The 16,536-nt window shown below is 51.6% G+C and overlaps 1 protein-coding gene across 2 annotated transcripts in view, besides 2 other annotated features; it reads left to right on the forward strand.

Moving 5' to 3' along the window:
• ABL1 (ABL proto-oncogene 1, non-receptor tyrosine kinase) overlaps nt 1-16,079 on the forward strand; it is a 174,633-nt gene extending 158,554 nt beyond the window's left edge. For both annotated transcript variants that reach the window (NM_007313.3, NM_005157.6), the window contains exons 5-11: nt 533-617; nt 1,264-1,441; nt 3,272-3,456; nt 6,819-6,971; nt 8,472-8,561; nt 8,904-9,068; nt 12,373-16,079. In NM_007313.3, coding sequence (NP_009297.2) covers nt 533-617; nt 1,264-1,441; nt 3,272-3,456; nt 6,819-6,971; nt 8,472-8,561; nt 8,904-9,068; nt 12,373-14,087 — 2,571 coding nt within the window. In that variant the 3' untranslated portion in view covers nt 14,088-16,079. The remainder of the gene's footprint in view (nt 1-532; nt 618-1,263; nt 1,442-3,271; nt 3,457-6,818; nt 6,972-8,471; nt 8,562-8,903; nt 9,069-12,372) is intronic.
• Nucleotides 9,275-10,474: an enhancer, noted in NCBI's record as "CDK7 strongly-dependent group 2 enhancer chr9:133756258-133757457 (GRCh37/hg19 assembly coordinates)". NCBI's record gives its function as "activates an origin of replication core promoter dependent on BRD2, BRD4, P300/CBP, MED14 and CDK7 cofactors, with strong dependence on CDK7, by STARR-seq in HCT116 cells {active_cell/tissue: HCT116}" and the evidence as "EXISTENCE:reporter gene assay evidence [ECO:0000049][PMID:35650434]".
• Nucleotides 12,163-12,933: an enhancer, noted in NCBI's record as "H3K27ac hESC enhancer chr9:133759146-133759916 (GRCh37/hg19 assembly coordinates)". NCBI's record gives its function as "activates a minimal SCP1, AML or CMV promoter by ChIP-STARR-seq in naive H9 embryonic stem cells {active_cell/tissue: H9 hESC(naive)}" and the evidence as "EXISTENCE:reporter gene assay evidence [ECO:0000049][PMID:30033119]".

Raw genomic sequence — 16,536 nt, forward strand, 5'->3', positions numbered from 1 at the left:
CATCCTCTGTTGCTACTGTACTTTGAGACATCGTTCTTCTTTGTGATGCAATACCTCTTTCTTGTCATGAGGGTCTCTTCCCTTAAATCAGGTACATTTCAGATTCTTCAGGTGATGTTTTTTAGGCTGAGTGTGTTAGCACCCCTTGGAAACCAGGTTCCCTGGGGAAAGTGTGTCACGTTTGTGGTGTTTGCCCGTATAGCTCTCCCACACCCCCACGAGCTCCAAGAGGTGGGGAAGCACATGTGGCCTGCCTAGCAGGCACCAGAAGCAGGTTGTCGGCACATGCAAGCCAGCTTTGCCCTGTTGCCTGGGGGAGAATTGAAAAGTTTGGCCCCAAAGGGGAAAATTCTTTCTGCCATCAAGTTGCTGGTCAGCTGTCATGGAACCTGTCTGCAGCAATGTGGCTGTCACAAAACGCAGCCCAGGACGAGTATGCGCTGAAGCTCCATTTTGCATTAACTAGTCAAGTACTTACCCACTGAAAAGCACTTCCTGAAATAATTTCACCTTCGTTTTTTTCCTTCTGCAGGAGGACACCATGGAGGTGGAAGAGTTCTTGAAAGAAGCTGCAGTCATGAAAGAGATCAAACACCCTAACCTGGTGCAGCTCCTTGGTGAGTAAGCCCGGGGCTCTGAAGAGAGGGTCTCGCGCCGCACCCCCAGGGTGACACAGGCGCTGGGGAAGACGCACGGGCGGCTCACTGCACAAAACCTCGTTGGAATATTTGTGCTCTGCCGACGTTCAGCCGCGGGTAAAATGAGGCCTGTATGGGATGGGTGTGTGCGTGTGTGCACATATGCACATGTATGTATGAGAGGGAGAATGTGATTATTTTAAGTGGATACCTAAAAGCAGTCAAATGCAAATCTGAAATTAGTTTCTGAAACTTGGGCATTTTCCAGAGTTTTCTCACTGAAGTGATTCTGTAAGTAGACACATAACCATCAGACCTAACCATTCAGGGGTAAACTGACGGTGGTGAAGGTCATTTGAGGTGGGGCCAGGTCTGCGTCTGAATTCTGTGGCAGCCTCTCCCTGCGTAAATTCAAGTTCACTGGCTTGAGAAGAAGAAAAGAGCCTGGCCATGTCCCTCCCACACGAGCACAGTCTCAGGATGCAGGTGCTTGGGACCATGTTGGAAGTTGGGCCCAGGACTGAGGAGCAGAGTCAGAATCCTTCAGAAGGCTTTTTCTTTAGACAGTTGTTTGTTCAGTTGGGAGCGGAGCCACGTGTTGAAGTCCTCGTTGTCTTGTTGGCAGGGGTCTGCACCCGGGAGCCCCCGTTCTATATCATCACTGAGTTCATGACCTACGGGAACCTCCTGGACTACCTGAGGGAGTGCAACCGGCAGGAGGTGAACGCCGTGGTGCTGCTGTACATGGCCACTCAGATCTCGTCAGCCATGGAGTACCTGGAGAAGAAAAACTTCATCCACAGGTAGGGGCCTGGCCAGGCAGCCTGCGCCATGGAGTCACAGGGCGTGGAGCCGGGCAGCCTTTTACAAAAAGCCCCAGCCTAGGAGGTCTCAGGGCGCAGCTTCTAACCTCAGTGCTGGCAACACATTGGACCTTGGAACAAAGGCAAACACTAGGCTCCTGGCAAAGCCAGCTTTGGGCATGCATCCAGGGCTAAATTCAGCCAGGCCTAGACTCTGGACCAGTGGAGCAGCTAATCCCCGGAGTAAGGAATATTTCATTTTTGAACCATTTTGGGCTAAGTGGAATATTAAATGAAGTTCATAAAAGGCGTCCTTCCTAATAATCACAGTCCCCTCTGAAAGAGAGTACTCATTGTTCCTCCGGGGCCAGCGCCCAGCAGTAATGGCCTCTTCCTGGGAGCCGCTGGCATTGCTTTTACGCAAACTCATGGGAACAACCAGTACATGGCTTTTGTTTTTTAGTGTGTGTGTCTTTTTTTCCTGCTTTCTCTTTATTATCTTTTCATTCTCCACTTAACTTGCTGTCCTCTGATTCAGGGATGTTTCCACAATTGTCAGAATTGTGTATGTGGAGGTCTAAATTAAGTGTCTTTGCTGTTTTAAACCCTGAAGTGTTTTGACCTTCAAATGTGCCACAATTATCTTGGTCTTCAAATTCTTTGCTGGTGGAAATGGCTTCCCAGCAAAGCGACGGCCTGTGCAGGACAGAGCCTGATGGGCTTTGCTGGCGTCTTTTATACGAGATGTTCTCCACACCACCACTGTGACCTTTCCTACCCAATTAGCTCAAGTATGAAACCTCTACATGAGATTTCATAGCAAGGAATAAGGGTAGCATGTGTGAAATGCTGGCGGCTCCTTGTAAGACAGATTTTCTATGCTCCATGAGAGCCTGATCCAGATACTCCTGGCTTTCAGGAAAGTGAATCCTCTGATGCTGCAAATTGAGATTGCTTGACTTCTGGTTTGCCTGGCACGGCCGGGTCCGTTCCTTCTTCATTCAAGCGAACTTAAAATGCTTTATCAAAATCCTCTTAGGCACAACTCTTCTGTATTTAATTTCACTCTTGTTGCTGACGATCAGGCTATCTCACGCAGCCATCACCTCAAGCTGCTGCCCCCTCTCATTCCGCTCTTCCCGTTTGCCTTGTGATTTCATGGTTAATGTTCATGAACCAAAGATTAGACTCCTACCTCCCTGGGAGAATCAGGAAGTGAGAGGAAGCAGATTATACAGGAGAGAGTTTTTTAGGATACATTTGGGTACACCTCAGGAAGAAAGAGGGAAGTAGGAAACACAGTTTGGGTAAAGAATGCCATGGGCTTTGTTTTATTTTGTCCCATCAAGTCTGAATAGGACAAGTGGAGATGCACTCTGATAGAAGTTTCTTGCAATCAAGGACTGGGCTCAGTGTTTGTCTCCGTGCCTGGCATAGAGTAGCAATAACTGCACTTACTATTCTCGACACTTCAATCAAAGCACTTAGCATATTAATTAATTACACTCACAGCAACCCTAAGAGGTAGGTGCCATTATTATCGTCTTCATTTTACGGATGAGGTAACTGAGTCCCAGGGTAATTAACTTGCTCCAGGTCATGAGGCCAGGGAGCCCGCTCCCAGCACCAGCCTCTCCCCATGTTGGGATCTCAGGGTGTGTTTGCTGAGAGGCTGGCACTGTGTTAATTGCCGTGGGCATTAATACAAACTTCCAGGGCATTGGACTCAATCTTTCCATTGTCAGCATTGCACCTTTGCTCAGCAGTGGTGGATTTGTGAAGTGGAAGGTTGGCCAGGAGCTCTCATGGGTGAACATTTTCCTTTCTTAGAGATCTTGCTGCCCGAAACTGCCTGGTAGGGGAGAACCACTTGGTGAAGGTAGCTGATTTTGGCCTGAGCAGGTTGATGACAGGGGACACCTACACAGCCCATGCTGGAGCCAAGTTCCCCATCAAATGGACTGCACCCGAGAGCCTGGCCTACAACAAGTTCTCCATCAAGTCCGACGTCTGGGGTAAGGGCTGCTGCTGCACTGAAGTGGTCCTTCCTGACTACAGGAGGGTTTTTTTCTGCCTCTTTCTTGCTCTTCCCTTTCTTTTCTTCCTTTCTTTTTGTTTTTTTGAGACGGAGTCTCACTCTGTCACCCAGGCTGGAGTGCAGTGGTGCAATCTTGGCTCATTGCAGCCTCTCCCTCCCGGGTTCAAGCGATTCTCCTGTCTCAGCATCTTGAGTAGCTGGGATTATAGGCACCCGCCACCACACCCAGCTAATTTTTGGTATTTTTAGTAGAGATGGGGTTTCACCATGTTGGCCAGGCTGGTCTAGAACTCCTGACCTCAGGTGATCTGCCTGCCTTGGCCTCCCAAAGTGCTGGGATTACAGGTGTGAGCCACTGTGCACAGCCACCCTTTTTTTTTTTTTTTTAACTGTGTATTTGGCCTGAGGTCCAAATATGGTGCACAGTGTATCTGCTGATCTGTTAAGTCTCCTCTATAAGCCCCCTCTCCATGTCTTTATTTCCCTTGCTGTTTATTGAAGAAACCATCCTTAGAGTTTCGTACGTTCTGGGTTTTGCTCATTGTCTCCCATGGTGTGATTTAATATGTTCCTCTGACTTCAGTATTCCTAGTAATGGGTGGCTGGATCTGGAACGGCCTCATCACATTCAGGTTTGACTGTTTCTCTTTTAGTAAGAGTGGATCAGGGGAGATGGTGTGCCCTTCCATCAGTAGATACAAAATGCTTCATTTATTTCCTTCCTTCCTTTCCTCCCCTCTCCCTCCCCTCCTCTCTTCTCCTTCTCCTTCCGACGGAGTTTCGCTCTTGTTGCCCAGGCTGGAGTGCAGTGGCACGATCTTGGCTCACTGCAACCTCTGCCTTCTGGTTTCAAGCGATTCTCCTGCCTCAGCCTCCTGAGTAGCTGGGATTATAGGCGCATGCCACCACCCCCGGCTAATTTTTGTATTTTTAGTAGAGACGGGGTTTTACCATGTTGGCCAGGATGGTCTCCAACTCCTGACTTCGTGATCCACCCACCTCGGCCTCCCAAAGTGCTGGGATTACAGGCGTGAGCCACCACGCCTGGCCCCAAAATGCTTGATTTGCTATCGTTTTTTTGTGGGGGTTTTTTTTTGAGTAATTTTTGGCAGTTACTGATATACAGTGCCTAGATCCAATAGTTTGCTAGGTATTGCCAGGTAGGAATTCTCTAATTCTGTCATTCCTGTTAAGTTACTAGTGGAAACTTGTATGAGGAGAAACAGTTCCTCATCTGTGTGGTTACTCAGTGGTACAGTTCATGTAGGAAGAGCAGGGTCAATTCTTGCTTCTTTGTTTTTATTTACCAGTTTTTAAAATAACAAATTACTTTTTCTTTTTTTTTTTTGGAGCCAGAGTCTTGCTTTTTCTGGGGTACAAAGTACAGGCTGGAGTTCAGTAGCATGATCTCGGCTCACTGCAACCTCCGCCTACCAGATTCAAGCAATTCTTCTGCCTCAGCCTCCCAAGTAGCTGGGATTACAGGTGCCTGCCACCACGCCTGGCTAAATTTTTTTGTATTTTTAGTAAAGATGGGGTTTCACCATGTTGCCCAGGCTGGCCTTGAACTTCTGAGCTCAGGCAGTCCACCTGCCTTGGCCTCCCAAAGTGCTGGGATTACAGGCGTGAGCCACCATGCCCTGCCACAAGTTGGTTTCTTTTTTTTTTTTTTTTTTTTTTTGAGACAGTCTCACTCTGTCGCCCAGGCTGGAGTGCAGTGGCATGATCTCAGCTCACTGCAAGCTCCGCCTTCCGGGTTCACGTCATTCTCCTGCCTCAGCCTCCCGAGTAGCTGAGACTATAGGCGCCCGCCGCCACACTCGGCCAATTTTTTTTCTATTTTTGTAGAGACGGGGTTTCACTGCGTTAGCCAGGATGGTCTCGATCTCCGGACTTCGTGATCCGCCCACCTTGGCCTCCCAAAGTGCACAAGTTAGTTTCTTAATACCCTTCAGTGGTGGCCAATTAGGTTTTTGCTGTCATTGGTGGTATTATGAACTCTCAGATTTATATATATCTGATGTGTTTCAGTCCACTGCGGTTATTTTCCCTGTTGATATTCAGATTGTCTCGTCTTTGGCCAGTGGGAACTTCACATTAGCTCCTAGTCATTTTGACATTAACTTTGTAGTTTTCCATGACGTCCGCGCCCTCAAATGACAAGCTATTGCAGGTTCATTCTGTGCCCCAGGCCTGAATCACCCATTTCTCTAAGGAATCTTATCCTTTAATGGGAAATGGAATTTTAAGGCAATAATCTCAGATTTCAAAACTTTCAAAGATTTCATAAGATTTTTATGAAATGTTTAGAGTTAGAAGGGGCTTTGGAGATAGTCTTGTGCACCCAGAAAGCAGTGGTGGCCGGTTAGGCACAGAGCTGGTTGGTCACAGAGCTAAGAGTTAACATGGCCAGCTGACTTCCGGCGCCAGGTTCCTTCTACCACATATCCCAGCAAGATGGTCACATTACCTAAAAGACCCCACAGGGTCTGAAACTCATCATCTGCCCTCCTCTAGCATGTTTGTGGGGTAAGTTTACTGAGTCTTGTTCTGTCCTGGTCTCCTTTTTTTTTTTTTATTTTTGAGACGGGGTCTTGCTCTGTCGCCCAGGCTGGCGTGCAGTGGAGCAATATCAGCTCACTACAACCTCCGTCTCCTGGGTTCAAGCAATTCTCCTGCCTCAGCCTCCAAAGTAGCCAGGACTACTGGCGTACACCACCACACCTGGCTAAATTTTTTTTTTTTTTTTGAGATGGAGTCTCGCTCTGTCACCCAGCCTGGAGTGCAGTGGCGCGATCTTGATCTTGGCTCACTGCAAGCTCCACCTCCTGGGTTCACACCATTCTCCTGCCTCAGCCTCCCGAGTAGCTGGGACTATAGGCATCTACCACCACGCCCGGCTAATTTTTTTGTATTTTTAGTAGAGACAGGGTTTCACCATGTTAGCCAGGATGGTCTCAATCTCCTGACCTCGTGATCCGCCCGCCTCGGCCTCCCAAAGTGCTGGGATTACAGGTGTGAGCCACCGTGCCCGGCCCCTAATTTTTGTATTTTTAGTAGAGATGGGGTTTCGCCATGTTGGCCAGGGTGGTCTTGAATTCCTGACCTCAAATAATCCTCCCACTTCAGCCTCCCAAAGTGCTGGGATTACAGGCGTGAGCCACCGCACCCAGCCTTGTCCTGGTCTTCTGATGATAAAGAGCCTGGTAAAATGTCAGAGCCTGGGCTGCTGCTGGGGCCATCCCTTCTGAGGTCTGCTGCAAAGGTAACTGATTTTAAATGTAGTGTAGTGAAATGCTACACATCTTGAACAGCCTTTCTCTTTCGGTTTTCTTTCAGCATTTGGAGTATTGCTTTGGGAAATTGCTACCTATGGCATGTCCCCTTACCCGGGAATTGACCTGTCCCAGGTGTATGAGCTGCTAGAGAAGGACTACCGCATGGAGCGCCCAGAAGGCTGCCCAGAGAAGGTCTATGAACTCATGCGAGCATGTAAGCCTTCCTCAGCCTGTTCTCACGAGTATATGTGGGCATTCCAGGAAATTCAACTGTGCAGGAGTGTGTACACAAAGTTGAAAGTTTTTCCATGAGCTCTCTCCATTCCAGTTCTTCAGATGCAGCTAATGTAGCCATTTGCTACCTATTGACCTTTATTTACAGATAAATAGTATGTGCGTGACTTGTCTTTTAAAGCAAAAATGGTATTGATAGATACCAAACCTGGGTGTATTCCTAAATACAGATTCCTGGGCCCTGCTTTCACAGACATTCTGCTATAGTAGCTAAGCTCATGAGGTGATTTTTTTTTTTTTTTTTTTTGAGACGGAGTTTCGCTCTTGTCGCCCAGGCTGGAGTACAATGGCGCAATGTTGGCTCACTTCAACCTCCACCTCCCTGGTTCAAGCGATTCTCCTGCCTCAGCCTCCCAAGTAGCTGGGATTACAGGCATGCACCACCACGCCCGGCTAATTTTGTATTTTTAGTAGAGATGGGGTTTCTCCATGTTAGTCAGGCTGGTCTCCAACTCCCAACCTCAGGTGATCTGCCTGCCTCGGCCTCCCAAAGTGCTGCGATTACAGGCGTGAGCCACCACGCCCAGCTGCGAGGTGATTTTTATCTGGTCGTTTTATACTGATTACATATGTGTTATCTGTACTATGCACACACAGGATGTTTTCATATATCTTATAAGGTATTTATATGGCCATTTCTTACACTGTTTTCCCACACATGTCTTTCCACGTCCATATATTCAGATCTCTCCCTCTCCCTACCTCTTATTTATGTATAGCTGCCCAGTACTCCATTTCACTCATTCATCCGGTCCTCTTTTGATGTGCATTTGGTTGTTTTACACATTTGTTTGGTTTTTGCCCTTATAAACAAAGCAGAAACAAATATTCATGTACACGAATCTCTGGGCACTTTGGCTGGTATTTCTAAAAGTTGAACTGTTGGTTCCAAGAACTGTGTGGGTTTTAAATTTTGATACATTTTACCAAACTGTTAAAAAAGGTTGTGCCATTGTATGCTCCAGTCAGACGCATATGGGAGTGACTGTTCCTGGTCCCCAGTACTAGGCTTTGTCAGTCTGTTTAGTCCTCATGTTAGTCTCATTTTCATGAGAATTTCTTTACTTCAGACTTTGATAACCGTGAAGAAAGAACAAGATAGAAGGTGAGCTGTTTGGCTTAGTAATTTTCTACACCTACTAGAGCGGGACTGGGAAAAATATATTTGTAAATGCAGTTCTTGCTGTCACTGTCTCTCTGGGGTTTTACAATCCATATTCCTGCCAGCATCTAACGTCTTTTCAAATTCTTAATGTCTATAACAGGACATGATGACATTCATCGTTTTGACTTGTTGCAGCAAAAGATGGTTAGCAGGATTGGAATGTTGCTTTCATTCTAGACTTTTCCTTGAGAACTGCTAGCCCCGTATTGCTAGCCAGATCTCATGGATGATCTGACTTGGGTTTCATCTGTCCAGGTTGGCAGTGGAATCCCTCTGACCGGCCCTCCTTTGCTGAAATCCACCAAGCCTTTGAAACAATGTTCCAGGAATCCAGTATCTCAGACGGTAAAGTACCCATCCCGGGGTACCTGCAGTGGGGTGAAAGGGCAGCCATGTGGGACTGCAGCCTGGGTCATTCGGTTCACTTCCTGGTGAAAGTTCACAGACCAGCCTGTCCTGAGACCAGAAAGCTGGGCAGAGGTGTGGAGTATTGTGCTTTCTTGTCTGCTGCAGCCCTGCAGAGTTCTAAGAAATGCTAAGGGCTGTTTCTCCGGTATCCACGTGCCTTTTCTTTAGTTGTATGCAGATGAGCACTGTTACCTTACAAAGAAAGAGAACCACCACACCAAGCCAACACCAGTACTGATGGCTGCTGGATTTTTGTTTCTGTCCCTGTATGATTCTTAGAAGTGGAAAAGGAGCTGGGGAAACAAGGCGTCCGTGGGGCTGTGAGTACCTTGCTGCAGGCCCCAGAGCTGCCCACCAAGACGAGGACCTCCAGGAGAGCTGCAGAGCACAGAGACACCACTGACGTGCCTGAGATGCCTCACTCCAAGGGCCAGGGAGAGAGCGGTAAGTCCCCCGCTTCCCCCAACCCCACTGCTCTTCCCTTCCCTGCCAGAGGCTACATTCAGGCCATCATAGGCCAACGGGAAGCTGTGAATGGAGCCCGCACAGAAGGGCAGCCATGGCCTTTGTCAATGGTTCAGCTTCGGAAGGAGGAAGGTTCTCCTCTCCCCACCTGCCTCCTATCCCCTCCCTCTGAGAGTCCCCGAGGAGCATAGGCTCCAGCAGTGAGTTCAGTCCTGTAGGCAGAGGTGCTTCTGAAGCCCGCCAAGGAGCTAGCCCATCTCCCACCTATTACCCGCGGCATCTGTGGTTGCTGTCTCAGAGCAGATTCAACAATAGTAAGCACCAGGCTGCGTGACAAGCAGCTCACGGTGAAGGCACTGATGTGAGAAGCTCGCTGCAGCCAGGTGGAACCAGGACACGCACATGGACAGAACCCGTGTCCTGGTGGTCTCTGGGAAGAGCATCTTTCTGGTGCCATTGCCTAGGCGAGCAAGGGAGTTGGGATCAGCTCAGGAGGGGGTCTCAAGACACTAGCAAAAATAATAATGGCCAACATTTATGTAGTGTGCCTACTACAGGCCAGGCTCTGTTCTATGTTCATGGTTGACCCCCAGAACCAGCAGTCCAGGTTCTGCTGCAGACCAGCTGAACAAAAGCATTGAGGGGTGTATTAGTCTGTTTTCATGCTGCTAATAAAGGTATACCCAAGACTGGGTAATTTATAAAGGAAAGAGGTTTCACTGACTCACAGTTCCACATGGCTGGGGAGGCCTCACAATCATGGCTGAAGGTGAATGAGGAGCAAGGTCACATCTTACTTGGCGGCAGGCAAGAGAGCTTGTGCAGGGGAAGTCCGCTTTATAAAACCATCAGATCTCGTGAGACTTATTCACTACCACGAGAATGTGGGAGAAACCTCCCCATGATTCATTGATCTCCACCTGACCCCACCGTTGACACGTGGGGCTTATTACAATTCAAGGTGAGATTTGGGTGGGGACTCAGCCAACCCATATTGGAGGTGGGGGGTAGGCCAAGCATCTGGGTTCACAGAGGATCCTGGGGATGGCAATGGTGGACTCCATTCTAATGGACTGCAGACTGGGTACATGTGAAGGGACTGGACAAAGCCCTACTTCTTGAAGATTTATGGTGGGATGTTTACTGACAGCAGAATCTATAAACCTGAGTTTTATCACGTACTCTCATTAGTAAAAAAAAAACAAAAAAAAACAGAACATGCAGCCCATATATATGGTATATAAAGTACGTATGTCCACTACTGTAGGAGTAGAGTGCGTATGTTATGTACCAAAACGCACATTTAAAAGGCTTGCATGCTAAATAAGTCCAAATTTGCAATACTTCCCGCCCCGCTGGGCCATCTCACTCACCTACTTGGAGGTTATGGCGTATAGACTCTCCAGAATCTTCCACCCTTCCTCCTCTTATCGGTTTTCCTGATTTCAGGTGGCTGAGCAGTAGGGAGGAGAGGCCTCTGGGAACGCTGTGCTTATTAAGAACCCAGTGATCAGCAGTCATGTTCATTTACGCCCGTCAGTTTCATCTGAGGGGTATTTTGATAGTGATCTCTTGGTGAGCCGAGGGTGTCAATTAACTGCTCAGTGCTGAAACTGAGTGGTGCATAATTCATTGCAATTTCACTCTCCTGGCCTCCTTCCACTAGATTAAAGTTTTGGGAGGGCTTTGGTGTTCCCTGATTCAGATGTCCCGCGTGCTGCCTTGGGTTCTGATAAATGCATACTGGTACCTCTGTTGAGTTACAGGTGCCAACAGAAAACCTCTTCTTGCAAGCTGACCTCTGAGGGAGAATTCTGTTACTCACTAGCAGGAGCTTGGCAACACCAAAAAGATTTCCTTTTTTTTTTGAGATGGAGTCTCACTCTGTTGCCAGGCTGGAGTGCAATGGCATGATACCAGCTCACTGCAACCTCCACCTCCTGGGTTCAAGCGATTCTCCTGCCTCATCCTCCTGAGTAGCTGGGACTACAGGCGTGTGCCACCACACCCAGCTAATTTTTGCATTTTTTAGTAGAGACGGGGTTTCATCATGTTGGCCAGGATGGTCTCTATCTCTTGACCTCATGATCCGCCCACCTCAGCCTCCCAAAGTGCTGGGATGACAGGCTTGAGCCACCGCGCCTGGCTACCAGAAAGATTTCTTATGAGCTATGATTCATATTTAAAGAGTGCCCATTAAAAAACTGTTGGCCGGGCGTGGTGGCTCACACCTGTAATCCCAGCACTTTAGGAGGCCGAGGTCAGCGAATCACAAGGTCAGGCTCCCGTGGCACAAGCTGGGGGCTGCCCCCACCCCATGCTCCCCAGAGGAGCACCCAAGCGTCTGGGCTCAGACAGGCCTGGATCTGATAACCGGCTCTGATGCCACCATCCCTGAGGCCAGGCAAGTCCCAGCCGGGCTACAGCACTGTTGTGAGAATGCAGATGAGGTTGTAAAGGTGAAGCACGTGTCACGCTTCTCTCAATAAAGCCATCATTGCTGTTAGGATTGTCATTAGGAAAGGCTTTGGGCCGGGTGCAGTGGCTCATGCCTGTAATCCCAGCACTTTGGGAGGCCAAGGCGGGTGGATCACCTGAGGTCAGGAGTTTGAGACCAGCCTAACCAACATGGTGAAACCCCGTCTCTACTAAAAATACAAAATTAGCCAGGCGTGGTAGCGGGTGCCTATAGTCCTAGCTACTTGGGAGGCTGAGGCAAGAGAACCATTTGAACCTGGGAGGCGGAGGTTGCAGTGAGCTGAGATCGTGCCACTGCACTCCAGCGTAGGCAACAAGCGAGACTCCAACTCAAAAAAAAAAAAAAACCACACACACGCTTTGGTCTCTTTCCCTGAAGATGGGAACAAAAAGCTGGACGGCCCTGGCCTCTTCATCCCTGCACTGGTTTACTTGAAGGCAGCAGCCCCCCACCCACCCACATCACTCTCTAGTGAGTATAAAAACGATGACAAGGCCAAGCAAAGGGTCAAAACCTGTGGCTCTCCTGCCAGCCAGCTAGCCGAGAGGCCTATGAGGAGCTCTGGGAATAAGGGGCTGTGTCCCACAGTGGGGAAGGGACAATGGGCCATTATGCACAGGAGATAAGAAGGGATGACCTTTGACAATTTTTTTGTTTGTTTGTTTGTTTGTTTTGAGATGGAGTCTCACTCTGTCTCCTGGGCTGGAGTGCAGCAGTGGCACTCTGCCTCCCGGGTTCAAGCGATTCTCCTCTGTCAGCCTCTAGAGTTGTCTGGAGTTGTCAGCTCTTCCCCTTGCGTTTCAGATCCTCTGGACCATGAGCCTGCCGTGTCTCCATTGCTCCCTCGAAAAGAGCGAGGTCCCCCGGAGGGCGGCCTGAATGAAGATGAGCGCCTTCTCCCCAAAGACAAAAAGACCAACTTGTTCAGCGCCTTGATCAAGAAGAAGAAGAAGACAGCCCCAACCCCTCCCAAACGCAGCAGCTCCTTCCGGGAGATGGACGGCCAGCCGGAGCGCAGAGGGGCCGGCGAGGAAGAGGGCCGAGACATCAGCAACGGGGCACTGGCTTTCACCCCCTTGGACACAGCTGACCCAGCCAAGTCCCCAAAGCCCAGCAATGGGGCTGGGGTCCCCAATGGAGCCCTCCGGGAGTCCGGGGGCTCAGGCTTCCGGTCTCCCCACCTGTGGAAGAAGTCCAGCACGCTGACCAGCAGCCGCCTAGCCACCGGCGAGGAGGAGGGCGGTGGCAGCTCCAGCAAGCGCTTCCTGCGCTCTTGCTCCGCCTCCTGCGTTCCCCATGGGGCCAAGGACACGGAGTGGAGGTCAGTCACGCTGCCTCGGGACTTGCAGTCCACGGGAAGACAGTTTGACTCGTCCACATTTGGAGGGCACAAAAGTGAGAAGCCGGCTCTGCCTCGGAAGAGGGCAGGGGAGAACAGGTCTGACCAGGTGACCCGAGGCACAGTAACGCCTCCCCCCAGGCTGGTGAAAAAGAATGAGGAAGCTGCTGATGAGGTCTTCAAAGACATCATGGAGTCCAGCCCGGGCTCCAGCCCGCCCAACCTGACTCCAAAACCCCTCCGGCGGCAGGTCACCGTGGCCCCTGCCTCGGGCCTCCCCCACAAGGAAGAAGCTGGAAAGGGCAGTGCCTTAGGGACCCCTGCTGCAGCTGAGCCAGTGACCCCCACCAGCAAAGCAGGCTCAGGTGCACCAGGGGGCACCAGCAAGGGCCCCGCCGAGGAGTCCAGAGTGAGGAGGCACAAGCACTCCTCTGAGTCGCCAGGGAGGGACAAGGGGAAATTGTCCAGGCTCAAACCTGCCCCGCCGCCCCCACCAGCAGCCTCTGCAGGGAAGGCTGGAGGAAAGCCCTCGCAGAGCCCGAGCCAGGAGGCGGCCGGGGAGGCAGTCCTGGGCGCAAAGACAAAAGCCACGAGTCTGGTTGATGCTGTGAACAGTGACGCTGCCAAGCCCAGCCAGCCGGGAGAGGGCCTCAAAAAGCCCGTGCTCCCGGCCACTCCAAAGCCACAGTCCGCCAAGCCGTCGGGGACCCCCATCAGCCCAGCCCCCGTTCCCTCCACGTTGCCATCAGCATCCTCGGCCCTGGCAGGGGACCAGCCGTCTTCCACCGCCTTCATCCCTCTCATATCAACCCGAGTGTCTCTTCGGAAAACCCGCCAGCCTCCAGAGCGGATCGCCAGCGGCGCCATCACCAAGGGCGTGGTCCTGGACAGCACCGAGGCGCTGTGCCTCGCCATCTCTAGGAACTCCGAGCAGATGGCCAGCCACAGCGCAGTGCTGGAGGCCGGCAAAAACCTCTACACGTTCTGCGTGAGCTATGTGGATTCCATCCAGCAAATGAGGAACAAGTTTGCCTTCCGAGAGGCCATCAACAAACTGGAGAATAATCTCCGGGAGCTTCAGATCTGCCCGGCGACAGCAGGCAGTGGTCCAGCGGCCACTCAGGACTTCAGCAAGCTCCTCAGTTCGGTGAAGGAAATCAGTGACATAGTGCAGAGGTAGCAGCAGTCAGGGGTCAGGTGTCAGGCCCGTCGGAGCTGCCTGCAGCACATGCGGGCTCGCCCATACCCGTGACAGTGGCTGACAAGGGACTAGTGAGTCAGCACCTTGGCCCAGGAGCTCTGCGCCAGGCAGAGCTGAGGGCCCTGTGGAGTCCAGCTCTACTACCTACGTTTGCACCGCCTGCCCTCCCGCACCTTCCTCCTCCCCGCTCCGTCTCTGTCCTCGAATTTTATCTGTGGAGTTCCTGCTCCGTGGACTGCAGTCGGCATGCCAGGACCCGCCAGCCCCGCTCCCACCTAGTGCCCCAGACTGAGCTCTCCAGGCCAGGTGGGAACGGCTGATGTGGACTGTCTTTTTCATTTTTTTCTCTCTGGAGCCCCTCCTCCCCCGGCTGGGCCTCCTTCTTCCACTTCTCCAAGAATGGAAGCCTGAACTGAGGCCTTGTGTGTCAGGCCCTCTGCCTGCACTCCCTGGCCTTGCCCGTCGTGTGCTGAAGACATGTTTCAAGAACCGCATTTCGGGAAGGGCATGCACGGGCATGCACACGGCTGGTCACTCTGCCCTCTGCTGCTGCCCGGGGTGGGGTGCACTCGCCATTTCCTCACGTGCAGGACAGCTCTTGATTTGGGTGGAAAACAGGGTGCTAAAGCCAACCAGCCTTTGGGTCCTGGGCAGGTGGGAGCTGAAAAGGATCGAGGCATGGGGCATGTCCTTTCCATCTGTCCACATCCCCAGAGCCCAGCTCTTGCTCTCTTGTGACGTGCACTGTGAATCCTGGCAAGAAAGCTTGAGTCTCAAGGGTGGCAGGTCACTGTCACTGCCGACATCCCTCCCCCAGCAGAATGGAGGCAGGGGACAAGGGAGGCAGTGGCTAGTGGGGTGAACAGCTGGTGCCAAATAGCCCCAGACTGGGCCCAGGCAGGTCTGCAAGGGCCCAGAGTGAACCGTCCTTTCACACATCTGGGTGCCCTGAAAGGGCCCTTCCCCTCCCCCACTCCTCTAAGACAAAGTAGATTCTTACAAGGCCCTTTCCTTTGGAACAAGACAGCCTTCACTTTTCTGAGTTCTTGAAGCATTTCAAAGCCCTGCCTCTGTGTAGCCGCCCTGAGAGAGAATAGAGCTGCCACTGGGCACCTGCGCACAGGTGGGAGGAAAGGGCCTGGCCAGTCCTGGTCCTGGCTGCACTCTTGAACTGGGCGAATGTCTTATTTAATTACCGTGAGTGACATAGCCTCATGTTCTGTGGGGGTCATCAGGGAGGGTTAGGAAAACCACAAACGGAGCCCCTGAAAGCCTCACGTATTTCACAGAGCACGCCTGCCATCTTCTCCCCGAGGCTGCCCCAGGCCGGAGCCCAGATACGGGGGCTGTGACTCTGGGCAGGGACCCGGGGTCTCCTGGACCTTGACAGAGCAGCTAACTCCGAGAGCAGTGGGCAGGTGGCCGCCCCTGAGGCTTCACGCCGGGAGAAGCCACCTTCCCACCCCTTCATACCGCCTCGTGCCAGCAGCCTCGCACAGGCCCTAGCTTTACGCTCATCACCTAAACTTGTACTTTATTTTTCTGATAGAAATGGTTTCCTCTGGATCGTTTTATGCGGTTCTTACAGCACATCACCTCTTTGCCCCCGACGGCTGTGACGCAGCCGGAGGGAGGCACTAGTCACCGACAGCGGCCTTGAAGACAGAGCAAAGCGCCCACCCAGGTCCCCCGACTGCCTGTCTCCATGAGGTACTGGTCCCTTCCTTTTGTTAACGTGATGTGCCACTATATTTTACACGTATCTCTTGGTATGCATCTTTTATAGACGCTCTTTTCTAAGTGGCGTGTGCATAGCGTCCTGCCCTGCCCCCTCGGGGGCCTGTGGTGGCTCCCCCTCTGCTTCTCGGGGTCCAGTGCATTTTGTTTCTGTATATGATTCTCTGTGGTTTTTTTTGAATCCAAATCTGTCCTCTGTAGTATTTTTTAAATAAATCAGTGTTTACATTAGAATTCTTGGCAGATTGCTTCGGCCTGTGATCCTGCCCTGTTGTTCTGAGCCTGTGCGGTGGCGGGGCCGGGATGTAGTGGGTTCTGGTTTCCCGACGGGGCTGGGGCCCGGCATCAGGTCTTACAGAGCAGAACGGTGGCAGGTTGCCCCCAGCTGCCCAGGGCCTCTGCGGCCTGGGTGCCCACAGCCATCTTTCAGGCACTTGCCCTGCTATGCTCGGACCCTTTCTGTACCCTTGGCGCTTACCTGCTGGCAGCCTGGCCCCACCGGCATCACTGGGAGTGGGCTGTGCCACCATACAAGCCACATCTGACTGGCGGTATCAGGCTGTCGCAGCGACGTGGAAGTGGGGTGAGGAGGTCACGTCCCGTGCTTCTTGCTGGCTGAGGGCAAATCCCTCCCCACGTGCGCCTGTTCTCTCTCCACCTTTCCGCCCTAAGCCCCCAGGTGCCCTTACTC

Source organism: Homo sapiens, chromosome 9 (assembly GCF_000001405.40).
Source record: "Homo sapiens chromosome 9, GRCh38.p14 Primary Assembly".
In the NCBI taxonomy this organism is placed as follows: Eukaryota; Metazoa; Chordata; class Mammalia; order Primates; family Hominidae; genus Homo; species Homo sapiens.